General features: G+C 39.0%; 1 protein-coding gene across 3 annotated transcripts in view; it reads left to right on the forward strand.

Moving 5' to 3' along the window:
- Nucleotides 1-26,942, forward strand: part of CNTNAP5 (contactin associated protein family member 5) — an 895,933-nt gene that overhangs the window by 733,168 nt on the left and 135,823 nt on the right. For all 3 annotated transcript variants that reach the window (NM_001367498.1, XM_017003316.2, NM_130773.4), the window contains exons 15-17: nt 5,218-5,345; nt 5,523-5,693; nt 14,345-14,563. In NM_001367498.1, coding sequence (NP_001354427.1) covers nt 5,218-5,345; nt 5,523-5,693; nt 14,345-14,563 — 518 coding nt within the window. The remainder of the gene's footprint in view (nt 1-5,217; nt 5,346-5,522; nt 5,694-14,344; nt 14,564-26,942) is intronic.

The following is a 26,942-nucleotide window of genomic DNA, read 5'->3' on the forward strand; positions in this document are numbered from 1 at the left end:
GTCTGTGTGTAGCAGCAAAGAAGGCAAAAGTAAAATGTAAAATGGTGCAACAAAGTGAAGGACATTAGGGGCCGACATGTTCCATGGAAACTAGCAATTTAATAAGAGAAGTCTCAGTGGACTGAAGGGGAAAAAGGCCAATTGTCGTAGGTTGAGGAGGAAAAGGGTGCAGAGGAAGATGAGATGACAGAATGCAGGCAATTATCTGAAGAAAATTTGGCTCTGAAGAGAAAAGAAGGGAAGTAACTAGATTGAGAGATAGGGTTGAGGATGACTACAGCATGCAAGCAGAAAGAGTGGGAGAAGTTGAAGGTACAACATAAAGAGAGAGCTTAATTGAAGGAGAAAGTGCCCTGAGAAGTCAGAAGATGAGATTCAGGATAAAATACTAGCCATGGACAAGGGGAGGATTGCTCAAGCCAAGAGAAAGCAAATCACAGTGGGTTCGATGGTCTGACTTTGCAGATACCTTTGCTAGATTGCTATTTAATGTCGAGCTTATTCTCTACAAAACATTAAATCATTTTCCAACAGGGAAAACAAGAATTACACACACATACACAAGTCAATATATAAATCAATGTCACAAAATATTTTATGCAAGAAATTAAAATTAGAATAGAGAGGGAAAAGAGAATACAGAACATTTGGGAACATTTTTGAGAGGAAACTGGAGTTGAGTCTTGAGAAATTTGAAGAGTTGGAGAAGACAAACAGTTGGTGTGTTCCAGAGAGAGATATATATTTTGGAATCATCAAGATCTAAGTGGTGTTGAATCACAAGTATGGTGTATAGTCTAATAGTTTTGACTTTTAATCTACTTGCTTCCTGAATAAGACCAAAGGCAATCTAGAAATGTATAAATATATTTCTAGAAAAATATATATATACATTATATATATATTCATTATATATATTTATTATATATATATAAATTATATATATATCTATATATACACATTATATATATATATATAATGGCACCACTAATTGTTTCTTTCTTTGTATTGAGGGAATGTTCTACAAATTATGACTCCCAAAATCTTCATCTGTGGTATTTTTAAAATCAGTTTTACATCTCTAACGTCTTGAGGGTCATTTTAATTTCTTAGCAGTAAAGTGACATTGAGTAAACCTTGGCTGATTCATATACCAAGACCTGCTTTTGTTTTCTTGTATCTGTTTGTGAAAAGTCCTATGGTTTCAGATTTCTGGAGCATTTATAGAAAATAAAATAGTTTCTGAACATTTTAAATACATACTTTATTTGCCTTCACCCCTTGTTTCTTATGTTAGGAAATAAAAACAAGATTGCAGATGTGGTCCAGTCCCTCCCACCCACCCCTGTGTGGAGCACAGGGAGATGGATATTATCCTGGGGTAGACTGTATATTTGACCACTCAATGCCTGCATTTGCTTTGGTTGGCAGCCAAATGACCTTTAAGCTCATTTAAAGCTTCTTGTTACCTAAACTCCTCGGTCTTTTTTTTTTTTTTTTTTTTTTTTTTTAAATCTGGAAGCCTTGAGAAAGAAAGCAAAAGAGAAATAATTGCTCCTTAAACAAAGCTAAGACAGAATTATCAGCAAGCATCAGTGCAGCATTGCAGACTTGAAGAGTTGCTTGCAGGCATCTTACTGGCCATTCCTCCTTTGCAGCCATAAGAAATGTAAAACATCATGTACCCCACTCAGGAGAAGGGGGTGTGGGGTCTCTTGAGGTTGATCCACTCAGATTCACATAAGGACTTCAAAGGGAACTGAGTTCTTGAATTCTTCCTATAATTTTCTGTTTGTCTGCCATATATATAACGTTTTATTTGCTGCTTCTGAGTGACTGAAAGAGGAAAGGACACAAAAGAGGGGAAAAAAACCCACTGTAATTTTTAATAGTTAAGTCACCCAAATTATATACTAAAATAAGCTTACCAAGCAGCAGTTAACCAAAATTCGTTGATGAAAATGAATGGCAGTCTGTGACATTTCATCAAACCTGAATGATACCCCGCCCCCACCACTCTGCCACTCTAAATTTGGTGAAATACCAAAATTCAGATATTTAAACTTAGAGAAGACCACATTGACTAATTCTGTACCATACCCTTGCTCTTGAGAATATTTAATTTTTTTCTTGCCACATGCGTTTTATTATTTTTGGTCATACTAAAGTATTTTTTAAGGATCATATGCCTATTCCATGTGCCCTTGTAGACTCCATAAATGGGAATGTCTGGCTGCTCTGCTCATGCATTCCTGGTGTGGGGTGCCGTTTCTTGTTCTCCTTTTATATATTGTTTGTATGTCATATTTTTATTTCAAACTTCAGTGAGAATTTCCATAAGTATGTATTGAGTTTCTACTATGTACAAGTTGGTGTGTTCATTGTTTTGTATGCATTATTCCCTTTGATTAATACAACAATATTGAATTATTGTTATTATTATAACCATTTAAAACATAAGAAAGCTGATCCCCAGAGTGACCTCACTGATGTTATACAACTAGGGTGTTGAGGTACATGGATTCAACTCATGTCGTCTGATCCCAGCGACAGGCTTTCTTACTACATACAACACAATCATCTCTCAACTGTACTTAGGAAGGGCCTTGTGCATTGTTCCAAAGGAAGTGAAAGTTTGCAGAATCCTTACCCTTGGCATGAAGAAAGCAAATCTACAGCTGTAGACTCCTTGCCTATCAATAGGTACCACCATCATTTGCATCATTTTATTGTGACTAAAACCCACCATGACGATCACCACTACCATCACCACCAATTGTCCTACCCATTGTTTTGAAGTGCTGGAATGGTACCTGTCACTCACAAATTTAATTAAATCCGATCATATTCCTAATATGACCTTAAAAGCAGGAATAAATACACAAATTCCCCTTGATGGTTCCATTGCCTATAGGCTCAACACAGCCTTCATCTGCAGTTTATTGGTCCAGTCAGTGTGGGTTCCCATTATAATTTTTTAAAGAAATTTAAAATTCACTGCCAATATTCAAAAACTGAAAATTTTTACATTAAGATTCTAGCCTGGCTCTTTGGTCTCATATTACAGAATAGCATAATTTCCTGTTGCTAGTGAGTACTACAGGCCTGTTTTAGTTGGGACAGCTATTTTATACTTATCTCTCTTTCCCCCTGACAAGAGATTGTGTGTCAATTTCCATTTATTACTAACACAAAGCTGGATTCGCATGCTTTTTGACTTGCTTGGCCCCTGTAGGCATTTAAATTTGTGTCTGTTTCTGTTGCATTAAACAGCTTTAGAGAGCAATTTACTTTAAGTTTTCAGGTAAAAATATTCTTAGTAATGTGCTTTGCATCATCAAACTAAATACAATTTCTTTCCTCTGTTATTTGGAAGATAATTTTATTCTTAGAGTGCTATTTTTAGATCCCAACACTTTGACACAAAAACATCAAACTTTTGTGGAAAAGATGCCAGAATGTGTATGAAAGGCAGTCGTTGGCATTGATGGGCAGACTTTAGAAACTACCATTTTCACCTTGAAAATGGAAATGGAGAGACATACAATTCTATTGCAGTACAGAATTTCTTCAGGAGAGGATATGGGTTTGGTCTTCATTCCACTTCGGCTGTTTGGAATTTGCTTTGAAATCTCTGCCTGAAAAGATACCGGAATGTGGAGATTGAAATTCATCCCTGTGTCTATGCAACATTCATAGATGTACTTTCAAGCTGAGACAAAAGCCTTATTCTATATCCTTTGAATGGCCTCTAAGTACAGGTATTCGAATTGTAGATATTGTATGGTATATTTCTTTACATTTTCCTTTTGATCTGTAGGAATATATGTACAGGTGAATATTTGACTTATTCATAATCAAGATGAATTAATATGTTTTTCTCCGTTTTCATGAGTTGGATAATAAATCTGAAAATTTAATTTTCTACATGTGGTGTGTAATATAAGCTCTCCAATACAAAATCATAGGTGGATGCATAAAAAGATAAATTGACTTGCCTGGGGCCACAGAGTAGTTCAGGAACAAAGATTAGAACTAAAATAAGTGTCACTGCCACCATTTTTGAGCATTTACCGTAGATCAGGCACCATGCTAAGTGACTACATAATCTCTTTTAAACCCATCAGTCACTGTGATGTAGATATTATCTCCATTTTAAAATTGAGCACACTGAAGATCTCAGAAATGAAATTATTTGCCCAGTCTAACACAGCTAGGACCTGGGGACTGAGATTCCAGAGCACAGCTGTATACTTCTAAAACTATGTCCTTAAAGACCTGGGGTAGATACTGGGGATACCAAGAATGTGGCATTGTCCCTGTCTCTTCTGTGGTGTGAGGTGTGACTTTAGGCCAGCTATCTAATATCTCTGAGCCTCAGTTTCCTCATTTGAAATGGGCATAATGACACCTACAGCATAGGAATTTTTTTGGGGGAAAAATACCTATCCCCTAGTTTATTTCTGCTCAAAACCATTGTACACTCAATGCTAGTTTCCTACATCCAATTTTTCCTTCTCAGCCAAATGATGTGGCCCTTACCATGAGTCCAAAAACACCACCTTAAACAAAAGGGGAAAATATCCAATGGCTTATCCTATTCTTTCTAAACTTTATCCAAAGGTGATTAGTCAATATTTTATTTGCATGGTTAACAAAAACAAAGCCAGAGTCACTAGCTACCGAGATCTTTAAGAACAAAATGAAAAGCAACGAAGCAGTAACTATAAAGCACCTCGAGTTAAAAGGTGGTTAAAAAAAAATCTAAACTTGATTAAAACCTGTTGGCAGGTGGCTGAAACAAGTCCTTGGAGTGATTTTTGAGTGGAATTTGTGATGGCTGTTTCAAGTTAGTTGCTGAGATAGCCGATCTCTTTATGGGAATGAGAGGTGAGGTTTAATGTCACATTAGCACACATTGAGCTGGTGGGCTGCTCTTAGCCACCAAAAGCAGCATCTTTGTAAACTATCCATTTCTACAAGCACACGTGGGGAAGATGTAAAATTCACTTGTTTTTGGAAGCCAGTCATGGGTTTTGTAATTAACATTCCTTCCCTTCACATACACTTAGGCGATGAAAGGCCTTCTGTTTTCCCCCTCTCTGCCCCTACCCTGCTGCAACTGGCCAAATCACTTCTGAAAAGAGGGGTCATGGAAAAGAGTCCCTAGATTATCCACATTTTGTCCTCTTTTTTTCTTAAATTTATGTTTTGCAGGACAAATGATACTGGCTTTCTTTCCTTCAAAGACCACTTGCCTGTCACTCAGATAGTTATCACTGATACCGACAGATCAAACTCAGAAGCCGCTTGGAGAATTGGTCCCTTGCGTTGCTATGGTGACCGTGAGTACAAAATCGAAAGAAGCTTTCTCTCTGCATTACATGAGCACAAGATGTTCTTACTCCCTTATCCCTTTTCCCTGCAGTGTGCCCTAGTCTTGAAAATTATCCACATGTCCAGTGCTTTCCCATACCCCACTGAAAACGATAAACCATGTTGAAGGATTTTCTCATTTGCAGGACGCTTCTGGAACGCCGTCTCATTTTATACAGAAGCCTCTTACCTCCACTTTCCTACCTTCCATGCGGAATTCAGTGCCGATATTTCCTTCTTTTTTAAAACCACAGCATTATCCGGAGTTTTCCTAGAAAATCTTGGCATTAAAGACTTCATTCGACTCGAAATAAGCTGTAAGTGCCCTCAATTATGAATTTAATGTAACTGATCAACAAACAAGTTTTAGTCTTGTTTTTGCCACCAGTCACTAGTGGGCATTTGTACCAGCAAATTAATCTCACTGGACATCTGTAAAATTAGCAGTGATAATGTCTAGTTCCTTCTGATGCTTTATGATTTTTTATGACCTGTCAGTATTTAATCAGTCATTCTCTTATCAAAACATGGATATTCCGAAAATTCCCATAGACACCTATTACAGTTTCCAAAGGTATTTCTTACCTGTGACTTTAATCTTCCACACTACAGGACTTTATTCATGACACTTTCCATGCAAAGCTGAAAAGAGGATTATTATGCATTCTATTCATATTTAGGGTCTACTTTTTTGCTTTGCCTTTGTTCCAAAAGTAATTTCCTGACTTATTTCCCACACTAGGAGCGTGTGACTATCCAATCAGAATTCCCATGGTTTCTCTGCCACTTCCCCATGGACAGTGGCGTATCTAATAAACTTGATGCCAGGATGTGGATCACCTTTTAGCACTGCATATCCTACATATAAACTATATTCAGTAATAATCATGATATGTGAAGAAAAATAATGGGAATACAGATGGTGACATTTCCTATAATTAAACATTTTGTATATAATCATACTAATGAAACAATATTCCAATACTAATAAAATACAATTTAAAAAAATTACATCAAGTGGTATTTTTAATAAAAAGGGAAAAAGCATACCTATATATTGCTCTGTTGCGATCATAGTAACATTAAAATTTATGTTTCTGAGTCTCTACTTCTCGAAATTTGACAGTGACTTCATAAAATTTAAGTTTTTTCATATGTTCATGTTCAAAAGAGAGTGTGCTCATGTCCATTTATCTTATATTGAGAAAATAATACTTTCTATTAATTTTAGTTTGTTTCATATGAAGCAAGAGCTATACAAATAGATAAGGTTTTAAACTTCCTATTTGTTAAAAATTCATAAAAATTTCATTTTATACTAAATTATGTAAATTCTGGTACTGTTAATGTTTTTACTTCAGGATTGATTCTAGAAACTTCTACATGTCTCTGCAAGCAAAAAAATTCTACTACAATAATTTCAACAGAAAATTAATGATAAATTTCTATTTTATTAGGTAAAAAGTTACCATATTCCTAAGAATTTGAAGTTGCTTGGGTTCTAGTAGGATGCAAATTTTGTCTCAAACCTCTGTGGTTCCATACATTCATGTATTCAACATTAGATTTGAGTCAAACAAAGCTAGCACAGTAATTATACAGATGAAAAATGAGAACTTGAGTTCTTATTCTTAAAAATAAACAATTAGATTTGAGTCTGTATTTTTAGAAGACAATGGTAAATCTAGAGTTCTATGTATTAACTTTCCCTCAGAATATAATATTTATTAAGTGGAAAGAGAGAAAACATACTAATTTGAAGTTTATATATACATTGTTAAAAATTAACAGTAGTGTCATACAAACAAAATATATTTGTTTATTTTTAAGAGTAAGAACTTAAGTCAAGGCGCAGTGGCTCACACCTGTAATCCTAGCACTTTGGGAGGCCTAAGCAGGAGGATTACTTGAGGTCAGGAGTTCGAGACCAGCATGCCCAATATGGTGAAACCCCGTCGCCACTAAAAATACAAAAATTATCCACGTGTGGTGCCAGGTGCCTGTAATCCCAGCTGCTCAGGAGGCTGAGGCAGGAGAATCTCTTGAACCCCACTGGCAGAGGTTGCAGTAAGCCAAGATTGCACTACTGCACCCCAGCCTGGGTAACAAGAGTGAAACTTTGTCTCAGAAAAAAAAAATAGGTTAAAAAAAATAAAAATAAACAGTAGCTTCAGCATCTATTGAAACAGACCAACAAACGATTTGTTTGGTGAAGGGATGTTTTATCACTAACATTGCTTAGAATTACTTGTGTATGGTAATAATTTTTAAAAAGATGTATTTTTAGTGACGTTTGCTATTTTTTTGGTTCTCTGCATGCAGCACACTTTTTATTGCTTATAGATGGGGTAGGCTGTACCCACCACCTTGCCCTTGTTATTACCATGACCATAAAGACTCAGGCTTGTCATTAGGTGCCCTATGTATGTGTGTCTAAATGAATGTTTTTCTGTAGTTTGATTGAGGCAATTGACCATATCACTATAATGATGTGACTGCATGAAATACCCTTGAAAGCATAAGTCATGTCTTAGCAACAGAAATTGGAAACTTGAGAGCTCCAGAAAAGGAGACAAAAAAAAAAAAATGACTGGAGGAGATGACAGAGGTGTTTAAGTCTCCTGCAAATTACCAAGCAGCTAAGTGTTTCTTTTGCAGTTACCACACAATACATACAAGGAAAAAGATCTTCTTAATTGGTAGTTTTAACCTCCTTTTGCTCCAACTATTGAGACTATTAATGGGAGGAAGCTCTTGTGGCTTTGGTGTGAAACAAGATCCCTCATACCTAACATGGCCAGTCTCTAAAAATGTTGAGTTGAATGCCAACAATTTCATAATATGGATATAATAACTTCAATGTAAATTTAATAAAAATCAGGCCCCATGGCCTTTTGATTCATTAAAGCAGCAGCAAACGTATATTATTACAAAGTAATGACTGATGATTTAGTGTTAATTACGTATCAATGTCCAGTTTGTTTGCACTTTGTGGTACTGTATTTTAGAATTACATTTGACAAAAATCAAAACCCACTGAAGTAATTGCTTGGTATATAATATATCACCAGATTGGAGAACATATACTCTCCAAGACAAGATTTTATATAAAAACATTGAAAAGTTCAAGATCTTATACTCTCAAATATTTGTTATTATTAATATTTAAAAGGGGAAAAGACCAAAGTGGGATGGAAACATCTTGTATTCTTTATTTACAGCTACACTCATATTACGCATTTTAGGCAGATGGAATTTTTACCCTAAAGGGTTCATGGCAAGAAACCTCTATAGACCAGGCACTTGGAAAGGAAATGGCCTTTTAACAGATGCAGTGGCTCAGAATAGATTTCCCTCTCATCCGCAAGGAGTGTTCCTCTAAAACTATCTGAGCAGCAGTTTCCAAGGTTGATATATCCGAATTATTGGACAGGGAACAGTAGATTCCCATGAAATTTTCAGTCCATTTCCTTCCAGCCTGCTTTCAAAGATATTTGAATTTCGTAGCCCATACTCTATGAAAAAGAAGACACGCCACTATGTTCACAAGTCTTAGTGAATGTGTTTTAGTGGGCCTGTGAAAACGATAACTATTTTGATACCTATCTCACAATGGCTGTACAGGTAGAAATTGATATTTTAGAGTAGATGAGATCAGAAGGAAATGGCTTTTGAGAGTCAGTCTGGCATAGTGGAAAGAAGCTAGACTAGAACCCAATGTGGATTTGAACTTTTGTTCTTCCAAGTGGGTTTGTGAGCTGCCTTGAGCAAGTTCTTCTCCCTTCCTATGCTTATTTATGCAACATGGGGTTGGTGACATCCATATGCCACCCAGATGCCTTTGGCTGCAAATAACAGAAAATTCAATCTGAACTGGCAACCACAAGAATGGGAATTCACTGGTACTGGAGCATGTGACTAAGCCCAGAGGAGGTAGGACTGGCTTCGTTTATGGTTGTTTTCAGTAGTTTAACAAAGTTGTCAGTCATCTGATGGTTTTCTCTCTCTGTTATGAATGTTGAATGTCTACTTCGGTCTAAGGCTGGCTCTCCATCATGGTGGAGCTGCATCCCAGCTGGTGAAGAATCCCTGCTTTCCAGCCTTACGAGCAATCCTCCTGAGAGGCCACTCACTTGGCCCCCAAGAACCAATGTGTGTGACTGGGAACGTATACATTGCAGATTGATTTATACCAGGGCCTACCCCCACACCAGAGAGTGGGCTAGCTTCCCCTGAAGCCCATGGGAATGGGAAAGAGGGAAGAGTCTCCCAAAGTGAACTCAGTATTATTAGAAAGAAGGTAGTCGTCAGGGAGACAATCAATGAGGATTCTTCTAAGGCAGTTGTCAGAACTGAAATGTGTAATTTATTTTTAAAAATACCTTGCAGAAATTTGCTGAGCTGCTCAGGGGAAAAACTGTACATATATATACTGTATGTATGTGTGTGTGTGTGTGTGTGTGTGTGTGTGTGTGTGTGTATATGTATGTTTATGTATATATTTACTGTATAAATATGAGAGAAAAGAAAGAGAGAAAGATTTAACTTTATGATTTCAGAAGTATCATACTGAGAATATTACAAAATATGATGTTAACTTGGACACACTATAGTTAGAACCTCAGAAAATAGTACAAATGAATACTACTAATAATTACACTTTTGTTGAATTGTTGAGCAATTATTCTGATTAGACACTATACAATTCTTTACATTCCTGATTTCATTTTCTTTCCAAGCACTCCCATCGATGACGATCACTGTGTTGTACTGTGATTACCACCACACAGTGCACGGGTAGGCAGGATGAACCTAGAGAGGGGAAGTGGCAAGCCCTGATCGCACAGCTGGGAAGGTTAGAATCGAGGACCCACCCAGCTCTGTCTGACTCCTTGCAGCAACCCCGACTCTGCTTTGCACCAGTCCACAGGATTGACAATGTTAGAACTTAAGAGAACATACAATTATTTACCTCCAGGTTTTGAGGCACAGGACATAAAGGAAGCCCCTGCAATTTTGTGCAATACCACAGGTACTATTTTTCTAGAGATAGAAAATGTGGCTGCCATCAGATCCTTGAAGAGATTATGTCCCTGAAAAGTTTTAACAGTATTTTATTTAGTTCATATTTCTCATTTTACACATGGACACGTAGAAGGCCAGAGAGATTAACTCACTATGTTAAGGCCTTATGAATTATTTATTCCATAAATCGACCCTGAAATCTCTCTCATGCCAACCTGGGGTGGGGATTGAGGACACAGAAATGGAGTGTGGTTCCGTCTTCATGGAGCTCAGGACTGAGTGCTGGGAGAAGTGCAGAGTGTGTCCTAAGGATATTCTCTAATGGGCTTGGTGGTCAGTCCTGGAAGAACATCATGCAGGAGTCTTCTTAGCAGCTTCTTCTCATCTCCTAGGAGCACTTGGTAGAAACTCTGTTACAGCCCTAAACATGCCCTTTCTTTTTTTTATCAGTCTTCTCAAAAGTAAATCATGAACTCATCTTGTTTCATTTGTCTCAGAATTCTCAGTGCCTAGCACAGGGTCTGGCTTGAAAAAAAAATGCCCTGAAAGGCTAAGACTCCTTAGTTTTGCCTTGAACCATAAAGAAGTAGCTGGTGAGAGAAGGCATTCGTCAGAAGGTTGGGGGAAGTTGAACTTAGAGGGTAAGTTCATGATAGAGCTAATGCTGTCATTGGTCTTCTCCCTTCCTATTCAGGGCCAGTGGGCTATGTCCACCTCTTCAGCAAGTGAGAGCCAGCTTGAGTTTGCCTTAAGGGCCCTGTTATACTGGGCCACAGTGGGATGTATCATTCATTCTCTCACATTGTTTTCAGGCATCTTTATTATCTATTCTAGCTTTGACTAGCCAGGGCAACTGCACAGGTTTCCAGGTGTGGAGGTTTTATCGCAGGAATAATAATTTAAAAATTGAGCCCTGGGAAACACCATCTGGATTCACATCCAGACTCTGCCCCACCCACACTGGGTCAGCTTACTTAGGTACAGCTTACTACCTGTACCTTACTTCCCTCATCTGTAAAAGATTCCCTGTCTCATAAAGTTGTAGCAAGTCTTAGTGAGTCAATTAATGAAAAATGAGTAGTAAGGTATTTGGCTCACAGTAAGTACTCAATAAATATTAACTATTTTTATTGAATTTTACTGATTTTATTGAATTTTACTGATTCTAGGAGGTGCAGCTTAAACATAGTATGTCTTTAACAGTTGCTTTAATAAAGTTAAATAATAATAATTTTAAAGACTTTGCAAGGACCCTAATAACTTGGTATAAAACTGTAAAGGTATAAAGAAAATTGCAGAATGGCATTTAGTATGTGCAGTGTAATGATGTTTCAGTGAATAAAATGAGAACTTCCTGTATACAAGGCACAGTGCTAGGTGCTGGGTATACGATAAATCAGATGTTCTTCTAGAGTTGCAGACTCGGGGGAGACAATAAACAGATTATTATACAGCAGGGGGCTGCAGTTTGGAGCAGAGGTAAGCACAGATGGGAAACCTATTATGGAGGTTGTGGTCAGGGGGCAAGGCTAGTCACAGCCAGCGAAACAGCAAGCCCTCCCCAAACATGTGTTGTCTCAGTGGAATTTATTATCCACAAGACTAGCCTTGCAGGAAAGCTTTTAGCAAAATCTTTAACATTCCTCACCCAAATTCTCACCAATCTTATTCTGTGTTTTATAGAAAAATGTAAATGTGGGGTCCAGTCATCTCTCAGTTAAGTGTTTTTAAATTTGGGGATGTGCAGGGCTGCCAGGTGGCACTGGTGATCTGAATAAGAAACAGAGAAAGACTCAAGGGGCCACCTTCACTCTTATTTAGTCTAACTGCTCATCACTCAATCTGTTCCCTTCAATTCTGTTTCCTTTAAGGCATGAATTTGTCACCTGAAGCCAATTTGCCTAGGTTGAAAAATCACAGATCACAGTAATAATAACAACAGCCATCACCTGTTGAACATGCAGTATGTGCCAGGCACAGTTCTAATAACTTTATCAGGATTCGTGTCTAAATAATCTGATGATTTAAGTATTGTTTTTATTCCCATTTTACAGACAAGAAAATTAAGGCATGGTGACATTGAAAACTCGCCTTAGATCACAGTAGCTGCAGAGTCTAAGCTCTTAAATCCCATTCTTACTGCTTCCACCTTACTACCTTTCCTTTAGGCCAGGGCTCGGTAGAAAGCAAAAGAATTCGAGCTCTCAGATACTCAAAATTCTGTGTAATGCGGACTTTGATGGAGGCTGCTTTCAGTTAAGGTTTAAAGGCTGGGAAGAAAGTGCTCTGAGGTGGAGTTTGTCTTTTGGCATTTCCGATAATTTAAATCTGGCAGTTGATGACTTCATCAAATAAATACCCATTTCCTATTTTAGGGGGTAGAGGAGAGGGAGCAATTGTGAAGGTGCCTAGAAAAAAAGGAATGCCTAGCATATGAAAGTTCCAGTCCTCTCCTCATCCTCAATTTGTAAATTACAATTAGCCTCTCCATTTCCTTTACATTTAGAACATTGTTATGTGATAATGGAAAACACAAGACAATATACTCAACAGAGCAACATCGTGAAGAACCCTGCCTGTGGAGTCAGATTCTGCTAACCACTTAAGACACTTGCAGCAAATTATTTATATTTCTGTGCACTTTAGTTTTCTCACTCATAAAATGCTAATAATGGTACATTTCTCATAGGGTGGTTTTGTGTATTAAAATGAGATAATCCATGGTCAGTGCTTAGCATGGTGCCTGGCATAGAGTTTGTTGTTCCCACTGTGCTACCCCTTCCAATTCTCTCTCTTAATGGTTATCCACCATTGCCACTATCATCACCACCACCATCACTGGCGCCATCACCATCACCTTCATCACCACCATCACCACCACCGTTACCACCATCACCATTAACCACCACCAGCACTGCCACCATCACCATCACTGTCACCATTACCATCACCATCGCCATCACCACCACTGCCACCACCACTATCAACACCACCACTGCCAGTGCCATCACTACCATCACCATTACCACCATCAGCACTGCCACTATCACTATCACCATTACCCCCCTCACCACCACCACTATCACCACAACCATTATCACCACCATTGCCACGACCACCACCATCATCATCACCACCACCACCATCACCATCATCATCACCTCCATCACCACCACCCCCATCAGCACCACCATCACCATCAGCATTAACATTATGCCCACCACCACCATCAATACCACCACTACCACAGCACTACCACCACCACCATCACTGCTGCCATCACCATTGTCATTTCACCATCATCAGTATGCTTACTTCTGACTGGGTGCCATCTGGCTTCCATTATACAAAGATTGTTATAGAGAGGCAGAAAGAATAATGGAAGGAGTCCCATGTGATGACAGGAGGCTTGGGTTTGATTGCAGGTACCGCCACCTGCAGCAGTGTCTCCTTGGACAAGGCGATACAACTTTCTGAGCTTTTTTCATTATGGAAATAGCACAAATGCTTATATAACATGCATTAGTAAAATAAGGAGGAAGCACTGGACTTCCCAAGGCCTAAGTCTCCTCCCTGCAGGAGTGGAGCTGCCTTGCTAACCTCATGTCTGCAGATATCCTGGAGGACACAGCTGAAGCCACAATAGATCCAGAAAATCCAGGGCCTCGGCATTCATGCAGGTATATCAGATGAGCATGAATGGTCCAGGTGCCTATCCTGTTTCCTGAATTTGCAAACGTAGCAGGAAAAAAACAACTTGGAACAAGTATACACATTTAATTTGGTAGCTGTTACTATTAATGGTGATTTCAGTGCTGCAGGGATTTCAAAAGAAGTCTTCTCTATATTGATACTGACTTACAATCGTTTCTCCCACTCAAGCCTGTGCCTTGAATGAGCTAACAACTCCCTCTATCCTTCCTGTTTTCCTTTCCGGTTTCAGCTCCTTCAGAGATCACCTTTGCCATCGATGTTGGGAATGGTCCTGTGGAGCTTGTAGTCCAGTCTCCTTCTCTTCTGAATGACAACCAATGGCACTATGTCCGGGCTGAGAGGAACCTCAAGGAGACCTCCCTGCAGGTGGACAACCTTCCAAGGAGCACCAGGGAGACGTCGGAGGAGGGCCATTTTCGACTGCAGCTGAACAGCCAGTTGTTTGTAGGTAGGGGACATCTTAAGGCTCCTTTTGTGCTAAACCCTGCAAGATCACTGTGTGACCATGCCCAAGAAAAAATTCTCTTTTATCTGAGATCTGGGATATGATCAAAATGTCATAAATCATTTCTAATGGTAAATTTCATTCTATACATTCTTTTATTCTGGCTTCATTGGCTACATCGAGTTAAGATAATGCTAACCTTTAGCAAATTTTGAGGTTGTCCAGATTCTGTACATTTTCTTTTTGTAATATTGTCTTCAGATGCCCAGGGACCCCTTTTGTTCTACATCATTGTAATATAAATCTACTCCAAGGGACAGGACATGTCAACTCTTTACAACTTAGTGGGTGTAGACTGTAAGTCATGGGCTGCCCTTCCAAGTGCTGCCCCAGTCCTGATAATTACAGATATCCATGCAATGATATAGTTGAACCATTTTAAAGGGATTTTCGTCAACAGTAACATGGTTGAGAAAGGAATGATCCCTTTCTAAATCAGGGGGCTCTTTGATAGTACCTGAAATCATAGCACTGGGGATCAACCTGCCACAGGCTGTTCATCTGAACTGGCAACTGCTGCTGGTGGGGGCCTGGAAAGATCCAGGCATCCTTCTTTAGTCATTCCTCACTACTTTCATTCCACTCATAGTCACTGAGCATCTACAACTGGTCAGGTATCTTGTTAGATAGTGGGTATTGAAAGATGAATTGAGCACTACCACTGCTTTTCAAGGAGTTTATAATCCTCTGGTGTGTGTGTGTGTGTGTGTTTCACAGAGAAGAGAGCATGGGGTTTTGGAAGTCTCTCTTCAGTGCCTGAGCCTTAACTACATTTATGTTGGCATTTTGTTTCCCTTGACATAATTCTTACATTTTGTTAAACATAAGGGAGTGCGTGTGTGTGTGTGTGTGTGTGTGTGTGTGTGTGTGTGTGAGAGAGAGAGAGAGAGAGAGAGACTAATACAGGGTGAGCCTTATAGCTGTAGTTAAAAAAAATTAACATAGGTTGAGGAGGGCTTGTAAAGCTTTAAAGTACAAAATCGAGCTCTTAAAGTTAAGAAATATTGTCAATACTACCAAAACAAAGAGTGTGCTTTTATATAAAACTTGGAGTTCAGATGTTTAGAACAGTGATGTAAATAAGTGACAGAATTTGTCAGTCTACCCAGATTTAACTTTGTTTCCTTTTTTGTTTATTTATTTTTTTTTTGCCAACTCCCACACTACATAGCTTTACTGCTAGTGATGAAATGCCACCAGCATTCAATGGAAGTTTCCTTACTTGCTTCCTTTAAATTTAGGTTTGTGCAACTTTTAGCTCTGAGGAAAGCAGTCACTAAAATCACACCAGCTAAAAGAAAGCAAGTAATAGAGTGTGAGGATATCATATTCTCTCTTCTCAACAGGAACCATATTTCTTTCTTTGTCTGTTATGTTCCCCAGATCCAGCAGAAGCTAAGATATAAATTATCAAAACAGTTTTGTGATTGCAAGTCATTTGTTTAATTAATAACTCATATATGTGATATGATTCACTATTAAAATATTTTAAAAATTTATATTGCTGTTTTAATTCTATTTAAACATCACATTTTGATGGGTGACTTCTGAGGAAGGTTGCTAGTCATCAAAATCTAATATATTTTTTGGTGGAATCAAGTCAAGTGTTTCACAATTTTCATAAATTATATTCCATGCCAAAGTTTAATTTATCTTCAGGCAGTATTTATGAATCTTTCTGGCTGAAAGGTATATATAAAGACGGAATAATTTTTTACCCTTTCATGCAAAATTTATGTAGCTACAAAATTATCATACAGGCTGGATATGTGATAAAGTTTGCGCAAGTCAAAAGGGAAAGGCGGCAGCTGTGTTTCATGGCAGATTTCTATCTGCAGACGTTTCGGTTAAATTGATCACAAATGCAATGAGCTGTAAGAGCATGTCGATGGGTCTGGAGGAGATATCTTGCTGGAGCTGGAGCCAAGGTCAGCTGTGGCAAGAGCACCTGCTTCTGCTATGTTTCTCTCCAATAAGTCCCATCTCAGATGTTACTCTGCTTTATTGAATTTGTCTTAATGTACTTGAAGAAGAATAAAATGCTGTTGGAGGTCACTTTAATGGTCTTTCAGTTTGAATTTTCCTATTTAGAGTTCAGTGATATGCCCATTTAGAAATGTCAGGTAGCCAACAAAGCTGAAGTCTCAACATTTCCATCTTGCACAATTCAGTTGTTCAATAAATATATAGATAAATAAATAAGCATTTTGGTGCTTAGTTATAGTCACCAAAATGAACAATTGCATTCTGTATTATTCAGAAATTGAGAGGCCCTGGATATTTATATTTGCTAGGGAGGAAAAGATATCATTGGCGTGTGCTTCTTTACTGGAATAGATTGAGTGTAGCATTACTTAAATATTAATTTGGATATGTCTGTCTAGATATCTTTGGCCGCTGAAGGATCTTTCAATCAAAATGGAGCATCCTTCAGCATTGTAATCACTGACACAGCTGCCGTGGTCATGAGTGTTTCCTGAGTACCAGAAATAGGCTGCGTTTTTACAATAGGATGTTCCTCTCAGCACTGCCCCTGTCATTGGAATGTGACAGGTTGAAGTGCTGATACATGAGTCAATGCATACTGGATTTCCAGAATCAATATTTTAACTTCAGGCTGTTATATCACCATGATGGTTAGGGACATTTGCAACCATGTCATTTCACCAGTCACATTTCTTTAACAGAGCAGGAGACTCTTCACAACATGCAGCTTCTGAAATGTAAGCTGCAAGCGTGTGGCATTCTCACCTTTGGAATGCTCAATAGTACCGCCCCTTCTGCTTTGTTATTCCCCCCTAATGTGTCCATCAATGTGAGGATGAGGCAAGAAAAATCGAAGATCCAATGGAGAGATCTGAGTATGCATTCCTGGTCAGATGCCAACAAGCCATAGGCCCTGGGTAGAAAACTAACTAGCATGAGTGTACTATTGTCTTTATCTGCAGAATGAAAATGAAGAGACTGTAACTGATCTTCTAAGGCTTGAAGATCTGCTATCTGCATGTACAAATTAGGAACGACTGTCACACCTACAGTCATGCCCATGTGTACGTAACAGTAAAGAAAATGTCTCATTCCCTCCAAACTTAACGCAAGATCTTTCAAAATATGCGGCAATTATAGAGTGGAAATCTTGTGAAGATGGGGCCTGTGAGTCTCATTTTATGACTCTATTTCCTTCTACTTTTTATTTTTCCCATGGGCCTATTTTTTTTTTCTTGGCCCAACTGCTCTATTTGTGTCAAAATAAACTGAAGCTACTCCAAACTTACAATCCCCTGGGGAAAATACTACACTGACTTGATAAGTCATAACATTTGGAGAGATCCCCCAAAATTGCTGTTCTTGCTTCCAGGCTGGAAGGGAATTATTACTCCTATTTCAGGTGAAGCGTGTCAAACTCAGTGAGGTCAAGGGTGAAGCCAGGCAGGCTTGGCGTGCACATGTTTATTTTGTGCTCTGGCACTTCCTAAACTCTTGATTTGTGGCATAATGCAACACTTAGGTAACTGGCCTCAGTCTCCTCTTGGAATAGTAACTTATATTTTATGCTTGTGAGTGCCTCATGAAGATAGCCTTCCTGAAGCACGCCTGTAGTGCTTTCCATTAGGCATGATGTCATGTGTCTCACAGTATAGGAAGAGATCTATATTCTCTTCACATTGAGAAATAATTGGAAAATTATCTGTTAGCATATTTTTACATAAAGCTGTATTTGCATGGAGGATAATAATTATCATGACATCAACGGTGAAACAAAAAGTGAAGAAATAATTGTTTTTTTAACATTATATAAATCTCTGATTATGTCTACTATTCCCCCATAAAAGTGTATTTTTTTCAAAGTTAAATAATATATTAAGTATACTTCAATTTTTTTAGGAAACATTAATGTATGACTTTCAATGTCCCCTTACCAATTACATAAGGGAAATTGTTTTGGTTGGTTTAAGAAGAGGGTAAGAGACCTCTGAGCGCTAGCGGGCAGGTCCTGGGACTGCCTCAGTAGCCACATAAGAAACACTAGAAGAGCACCCAGTGGCCACTCAAAAATGCTTCTTTAGTGGGGAAAAAAAAAAAAAAGATGAAGAACACCTGGGTTTGTCCCTAGCACCAGTGATCCACAAAATCAGGTTCTTGTAGCTTGAAAATGTTTGAAAAAACATTGGTTCTGTTTTTATATTCAGGAAAAGTGAGTGATTAAATCATCCTTTCAGCAAAATTTTGTCTCTTCTTGAAGATGTTGAGAATTGGATACATTTAACCCATCCCAACACCCATTTTAGTGTTTTCTACTCGCTATTATATATTTTTTGAAACAGAGTCTCTCTCCATCGCCCAGGCTGGAGTGCAGTGGTACGATCTCAGGATCTCAGCTCACTGAAACCCCTGCTTCCCGGGTACAAGCAATTCTCTTTCCTCAGCCTCCTGAGTAGCTGGGGTTACAGGTTCATGCTGGCACATCTGGCTAATTTTTGTATTTTTAATAGAGATAGGGTTTCACCTTGTTGCCCAGGCTGGTCTCCAATTCCTGGGCTCAAACAATCTGCCCACCTTGGCCGCCCAGATTGCTCCCTACTATTTCAGACACACTTTTGAAAGGTTTGTCTACAACTTCTTCTGCTTTAATTGAGCTCATATTGTGATCTTTTGGTCTCTGTTGGATTGACAATGGACAATTGAAGCAGAATGGAGGGATGTGTGTGTGTGTGTGTGTGTGTGTGTGTGTGTGTGTGTGTGTGTGTGTCAGGATTCATACTGTCTTTTTTAAAGGAGAATGCAGCATGGTATCATCTTCTCATGCAGCTCAGAAAGAGAGGACCCGGGCTTCAGACCTCACAAAAACTCAAAGTTAGAAGCAGTAATTTGATTCTCTTGGCACTTCCACTTGTCAACATTTATAACTCAGTAAAGAAAGAAATCATTAGAAGAGCATCATTTATGTGAAACTGGCATTCTAATTGTAAAAAGAAACTTAAGGCAGATCTTTCTGGACAATAAAACAGTTCTCCCTGGACATTCAAGGACCCAATCTGAGGGGCAATTGCAGGAAAGAAATCAGGCTGCCCTGGAGCTAATGTGACTGCCACATGCTGAGTAGCCACAAGGGAAGCCCCAGTTGGAAAAGAGCAAACCAGAGAGGTGGCTGAGGCTGTAACACTGCCTAGAGCTTAGTGAGCTGGTTTCCATTTCTCTGAGTCTGCCCAGAGGAAGCAGATGACTCAGAGGAGGTGAGAAAGCCCTTGGGCAGAGTAGGGGATGGGAAGTGTGTCGAAAACCTCCAGTAAGTCCTACTGGCCAAGTTATACTCTTCTCATTTTGTTATGAAGTTTTTTTTGAACACATGCACAAGTGGTGTCTCAGCCAAAGCTTCGTCTACCTTTTCCATGCACAGTGTGTCATCATCTCCTTTAAGGGTGGCCTTGCTTCAGTTTCAGCAGCGCTGGCATCATTAGCTTCATCAATACCCAGACCGAGTTTGATCATCCTGTCAATCCTGTTAGCACATGTCTGGGGATCTTCCACACTCAAGCCAGAAGACAGGAACACATTTTCATAAACCAGGAAGCAACTTAATGGAAGAAACTCTCCAAAAGGGGCTTGTTTTCCAAAGAAAAGTATAGTTCAGAGGAGGGAAATTATAAGCCTACCTAGGCGTGTTGTAAAGCCATTCAAAAATAGCTCAGAGAGAGGATTCTGAATGGTAATGTAGTGTCCGACTCACATTCTGCTTAAAAGGATTGTAACAAATAGAGACAAGTTAAAAAGAAAAAAAAAAAAGAGTTTCTTCTGAACCTGGAAGAAAGGGATGTGGATTCAAAGCTGCTTCAGTAGGGAAGGTGATTTTGTAGAAGAGGAGGTAAGAAGTGCCATGCTCCAATTCGGCTTCCAGTGTTATCGTCCCTGTTTCAAGGTAAATAAGGATCTGCTCTCAGGCTCATCTTCCGTGTGTAGAGGGGCTTAGGGATCTGTGGTAGGACCTTGTAATCTGCTGTCCAGGTCTCCCTTCAAAGAAGGACTTGCTCTGTGGCTGGGAGTGCTGTTGGTGGACAGTCTTCATCTGTCTGCACCTTCAGAAGCTGCCTCAGCTGCAGAGAAAGCCTTGACCAAGGTCATGTCCTTTCCAGGGGGATTCACATCCAGTGACTGAGCCAGAGTGCAAAGGCACAACTGTTGGGCCCAAGAAGGAACATCTCTGGTTATTCGTTCTGGCTTCAGCACTCCCGGTGGGACTGTGCTGGGCTGATGTTGGGCCTTTACCATAGTTCACTTTTCTGCCCATTCATACTTTCTTTTTCTTCTGTCCAACCATAAGTATGGTTTCCAAGGTTTCCCCTAAAAATATCCTGTACCCTTAACTCCATCACAGAACTTGCTTTCTGGTGAACCCAACCTGAGAATCAGGTATATTTTTCGTGCAACTTACACACATGTGTGCATGCTCACACACATACACACACACACATGCTTCTTTTAAATCAAATTAATTTTCTTAAGTGAAATTTATTTTTCGTTTCTCCTGAGAATTAGCTATAAAATAATGCCTCTTCCTCTCCTACTTTCTTTTTCCAAAGCACTGTTTCATGCTAATAGGTTATTAAGACCAAGTTTGCATGGTTTTGCTTCATTACCCTTTGAAGGTCCTGGTACTCAAACTAAAATGGACCTGCCCCTACCCTGATCTACCTGACAGACTCCTCTTCATGGATAATGCAGACTTTGATGAGTCAGATGAACTATCTCCTCTCAAGGGAGTCTATCCTGGTACACCCCCCTATCTCTGTGAGCACACACAATACGCCTGATTATACTGACCTGATTGTTTCATCTCCCCTTTCTAGGAGTTTCTTTGTGGGAAGACGTAGTGTCTAATTTATCTTCACATCTCTGGGACCAGTAAAGGTTTTCTAATATATTTAGTGTTCAATAAAAATCTAATGGATTAATGAAAGTGAATGAAGGCAGAGCTCCCCGTGCCGTCCATTCCACTAGTGGCTTTATGGTATTAGGCAAGCCACTTACTCTCTCTGAGCCTCAGTTATTCCATCTGCCCACTGGGCTTAATAATAATCAATAGCTTGCAAATCAGTTTCAAACATTGAATGCAGCAATGGATGTCCCTGTTCCACTTGGGATTTTCTTTTAAGGGTTCTTAAATAAGAATGGCAAGCAAAAGACTGTTTCAAATGGGAAATGATTTGTGCCTTCACCCCATTGGAATAATGAGACACTCCTTTTGGAAACTGAGGGGTTTTGACATTTAAAGGACACACTCAATTGGTGTAATGGCTCCAGGGGGAAAGATCCCTCCCTACGCTGGATTTTACTTCTTCTCACAAATCAACAGAAATGTCTCCACACACTAGTGTACTTGGAGTGTGAGTGCCTCAAAAGCTGAATGCAGGTCCTTATAAAGGGGAAAGTTTCTTGCCATTTTCTTGGCCATCGACTTTAAAGATAAAGGGATTTCAAAACCACATTTTCAAATTACTATATGGTTCACATACGCCTGCTTCAAAATTGTTATTGGTAAATTACATTCTCACTGCTATTATTTTCCCCCTGATCTGTTCAATAAGACAGCCTTTTTTTGGGTTGTTTGTCCAAATCAGAGTTGTGTCCAATCTGGTAGTGAGAGGATGTGCCCAGACCAGAAATGGGACCTTTACTTGTGATTTAAGCATACCAGAAATAAACTGAAAGCTGACCACACTCCTAACACATTTGCAATGCCTTCTGGGCAGTCAGGATTTGGCCTCAGCCACTGACCTTCTCTTGGTCTGGACTGAGAATAAAGTGCAGCAAAAAGCCAGACTATATGATTGTTTTAAATTGAAATGACTTTCTTTAGCAGAATTTATTCTTCATTCTCCCAGGGATCAACCTCCTCTTTTCCTACTATCTCACCCAAAAGAGTTTTTAAAAGCCTGTGGGTGCTTCGGTGGAGTTTGGAGCATTTTGCAGGATGGGGAGTGAGGGACAGTGGTCTGATTCTGCACTGCCACTTGCTTTTCTTTGTCCTTCATCCTTTTTTCCCCACTCACATTCTTTTCCTTCCATAATTCACTGAGCAAATATTTTCCAAGTGCATGCTCAGTCAGCCCTGGGCTGGGCAATGGGGTCATGGAGATAAATAAGATCCATTCACTCTTTGGGAGGTACAGGCTCAGGGAAGAGGTGAGCTGGATTTTCTAGTAAGTCCTTCATGCTGTGGTATGTGGTATGTACTCAAGGCGGTATGAGCAGGGAAAACTGGATGCAGCTCCCAACTCCATGCGGAGGCAGGCCCCAGGCTCTATTTCTCTTACGTTGTGTAAGTGTTTATTTCCTGCCTCTCTCTTTCTTATATTGGTGAAATAAGATTAATTTGCAGTTAGTACAATGTCTAGGGAAATTTGCCCTTGGAAGGCAGCCTGAGACTTGTGTGCCCACTCAGTGTGTAGGAAGCAGATCTCTTACATTGCTAAGCCAGTTGCTCACTTATTCAGGTATCTGGGAGGACACCTGGAGCCCAAACGCCTCAGGGCCTAAGACTGACCATCCTTCCAGATCTTGCTGTCTATTTGGGGTACTCAACGTGGACACTGCATTCCCCGCCGCCATCTACACTGCACTGGAGCCCTGCTTTGGACTCGGGTTCGTCTTAAAATAGTGAGATGGTACTTCTATCAATGACAGAGTCAGGTGCCCTTTTGCTCCATATTCTCTGCCATTTTCCCACAAACTCTTATCCTCAAGGACCGTTCTTTTCTACCTTTTATCTCCCATCCTTTCACAGATAAATTAATTCATCAAAAACATGGGGGTGGGGGTTACTGTCAGGATGAGGTTGTTGCCCTGAAGGGCAGATTCAGGCTGACAAGGTCTTACCCAATAATAAGAAACAGTCCTTGCCCAGAGGAGTGTGCTCCAAAAGCAGTAATGGAGGGCAGTGGAGCAGTTATATATGTATATATGTGTGCATATGTAGATGAGGTTCATTTCTTTTTTATAATACCTCCACTCTCTTAGAGTTTCTGAAGCCTGCAGTTTTCCCCTTTCCGTCAGAGCATATTGTGTTATGCGTTTCCTCTGATTCCATCATTTTTTATCCTTTTGTTTATTTGCCCTCATTTTTCTCCTCTTTTATCTTCTGCAAAGCCACCTTGCTTCCTTCCATTTATTCCTGAAGGCCACGTAACCTCTGATGGTGCCTGCATGCCCAGCAGGAAAATATGGATGATAATGTGTCCTGCTTGCTTTGTGTTCACAAAAGACTAAAAGCCTCTAGATATTTCAGTATTTTATCCTTGTTATTATTGTTATTCTAACTTGTCCCCATCATTATGTATTGTGAAATTGATACCTTTTTCTGTACTAGAAGGTCATGTGGACCTTAAACAGTAGGAAAGATCTAGCTTGAACCCAGTATAGGGGAGGCTTCAGACCAACCACAAGCCATAGGTAGAAATGGAAAGTGTAAATCAGATTTCCAATAAGTATCCCAGGACTGGGAGAATTTTAGTTCAATTGCTCACATTTTTTTTTCATCTGTAGTTTGTAAAATAATCACTGGCATTTAGCATATTGACCAAAGAACTTTAAAAGAAAAAAAAGCATCATTCTGAGAATGCAAACAATTAAAATTTAATTTATTGCTGGTGGGAGTATAAATCGAAACAGTTAAGAAGACTGTTTTGCATTATCTACTGAAGTCAAACATATGCATACCCTATGACCAACAGTTCTACTCCTAGGTATACATCAACAGAAATATGAACCATAATAAATACAGAATATTACTTATGGCAGCACTATTCAAAATAGCCAAAACCTATACTATGCCCATTGAGAGTAGAAAGAAAGATGATTTATGAAATGTTTCTCACACCAGAATGCTGTACAGCTTCCTTTATTAATATGGACAAATGTCATCAATACAATGCTAGGCAAAAGAAGCCAGGGTCAAAATAGTACATGCAATGTGATTCCATTTAAATCATATTCGACCTCTGATTTCAGAAACGGGTTAGTGGTATTCTTAGAAGGGGTGGTTGGTGACTGGAGGGAAGCTTCTGGCGTGCTGGTAAAATTCTGTCTTTTGTTCTGGTTGCTAGTTACTTTGGTGTGTTCAGTTTGTGAAAAATTATCAAGTCATATATTCCTGTGCACTTTTGCATTTGTTCTTGAACACAAGAAACAATAAAACACAGTACTAAAAACAGCCTCAATCATTGAAATATTTTCTCATCATCATAAGTTTTAATGGTTTTATAAGTAGTTCCCCATATAGAATTACCATGACTTATTTATCATTCTCTTTTGTCAGACATTTCCCTCCCCCAGTCTGTAACAACTATTTCAAAAGATCAATTAAATATTAATATTTCTGCTTGTAATCCTCCTCCAAGCTCCATTTTCAGCTTTTTTCTTTAAAAAGTGCAATAAAGCCAGTAATAACAATGCTTTAATGGCTCTTGATATGGATTGATGAATTATTATTCACAAGTCTTTCACAACATTTATTTCTACCAAACAAATAAGGAAATTATTTTAATCTGTTAACCAAATTCAAGTTATCACTAAACTCTTTTCCAGTTTCCTGAGGGGGTTTGGCATTTGGTTTGAGGTGTCAAAATTTGTAGTGAGGATTAAATCAATGAAGCATGTAGAAGGTTTGATATTAAATAAATTCTTCGTTCTGATCACTATTATTATTTTACCTTTTGGGCATCCAGTTAATACTACCAGTATTATTAAATAGTGTATGTTTAGTGATTCCTGAGCAAGAAATCTCTCTATCTGGCAAAACTCAACCAGATACATGCCTTATCCTTAAGGAAATCACATTTTGAAATTAAAGTCTACAGTAGGATTTCCTCCTGGTACCAAGATTCTGCCAATTGGAGAACCAGGACTTAAAGAAGAACATAATTGATAGTTAGTGTACTTGTTTTTATTCATCATGTATATGTTAAACCTTCTGCCACTTTAGTCAAAAAGTCTGCCACTTTTTGAAATCTAGGTGGTAAATGCAGCTGAACTTCAGTAGAAAACAAACTGCTCCATGTTCAAGGGCATAAAAATAAAGTAAGGCAGGAAGAAAGGTGGGAGGGAAGAAGGGAGGATGGAAAGGTGGCACTGTACTAATTTTTATGAAATAAGAGCCTGACCTGATGCAGTCTGTGTTTTTCCAGGGGCTTCTCTGAAAATCAGTTTTGCTGGAGCATGTGCAGGAAAGAGCAGATACACATGAGAGAAATAGAGGCTCCGCGTTTGTGCTCAAGGAGGGTAAAAGGAACTGAGATGCTTCTCTGAAAGCAATGAGCATTTGTCCAACTGACACATGGAGGTTTTCAAAGACAGTCTTAGAATGATGATAGTGAAGTTTTTAAGAGTTGATTCATACTCAGTCCAAGGAAACATCATCATAATGAACCCACTTGATACCAAGGGCCAACTGAAGAGTATCATACAAAATTGCTTCTAGCTAGGCCAGCCAACTAATGGTCTAAGTTGTCAAAAAGACTGATAGAGAATCCCAGAGAATAAATGCATGCTGGTATATTATTTGGTGAAAGAAAACATGTAAGAGGTAAGAGGAAGAAACTGGAAGAATCACTTAGTTGTGGTATTGACCCAAATCGTCTAATATTTGTCTTAGAATTTTAGGGCAAGGAGCTACATGCAGGCTTTGAAGGTCGCCATGTCCAGTGTGACTCCAGGCTTTGCCACATAAAATCTGTTTAATTCCCCACTCTGGCCAAAGCAATCTCTGATGTTAAGTTTTCTTAGGCAATGTGGATGTTAAATTTTCTTAGGGAATGTGAATGATATGAAGAATACCTTCTTTCCCATTGACAATTTAATGAGTTTAGTATAAAGTTTCTAGCCTACAACTAGTATGACTAGTATCTTTAAATATTGTTTTTAGAACCAGAGGCATTGCTCTGGTCCTCAAAGAGCTCAGAGATTAAGGCTGAGAAAAAAAAAAAAAAAACAAAAGAAAAAGAAAAAGAAAAAAAACCCTTAAGCATCTCTAAGTAAAAAGCTACATGTTTTTTGTTCTTCTAAAATTACAGTGAACTGTATACAAGAAACAAACAAGTAAAAATGAAAGTATATTAGAGCAATAGGGGAAAAATTAAATACTTGCAGTGGCCAGGAAGGCAACATGAATGAATGAAATCATCCTGGTGGGTTCTGTGGTCAAGTGGAGAGTGCATGCCCTATCTTAAAGGAGCTGACCCCAGTGCAGTTGAGAATTGCCATGCAAGAAAGCAGGTTCATTGTTAAGAGATGTTCTGATTTTTCAATGAGGAACTAACTAGAATTTTTA

Source organism: Homo sapiens, chromosome 2, assembly GCF_000001405.40.
Source record: "Homo sapiens chromosome 2, GRCh38.p14 Primary Assembly".
NCBI classification, from domain to species: Eukaryota; Metazoa; Chordata; class Mammalia; order Primates; family Hominidae; genus Homo; species Homo sapiens.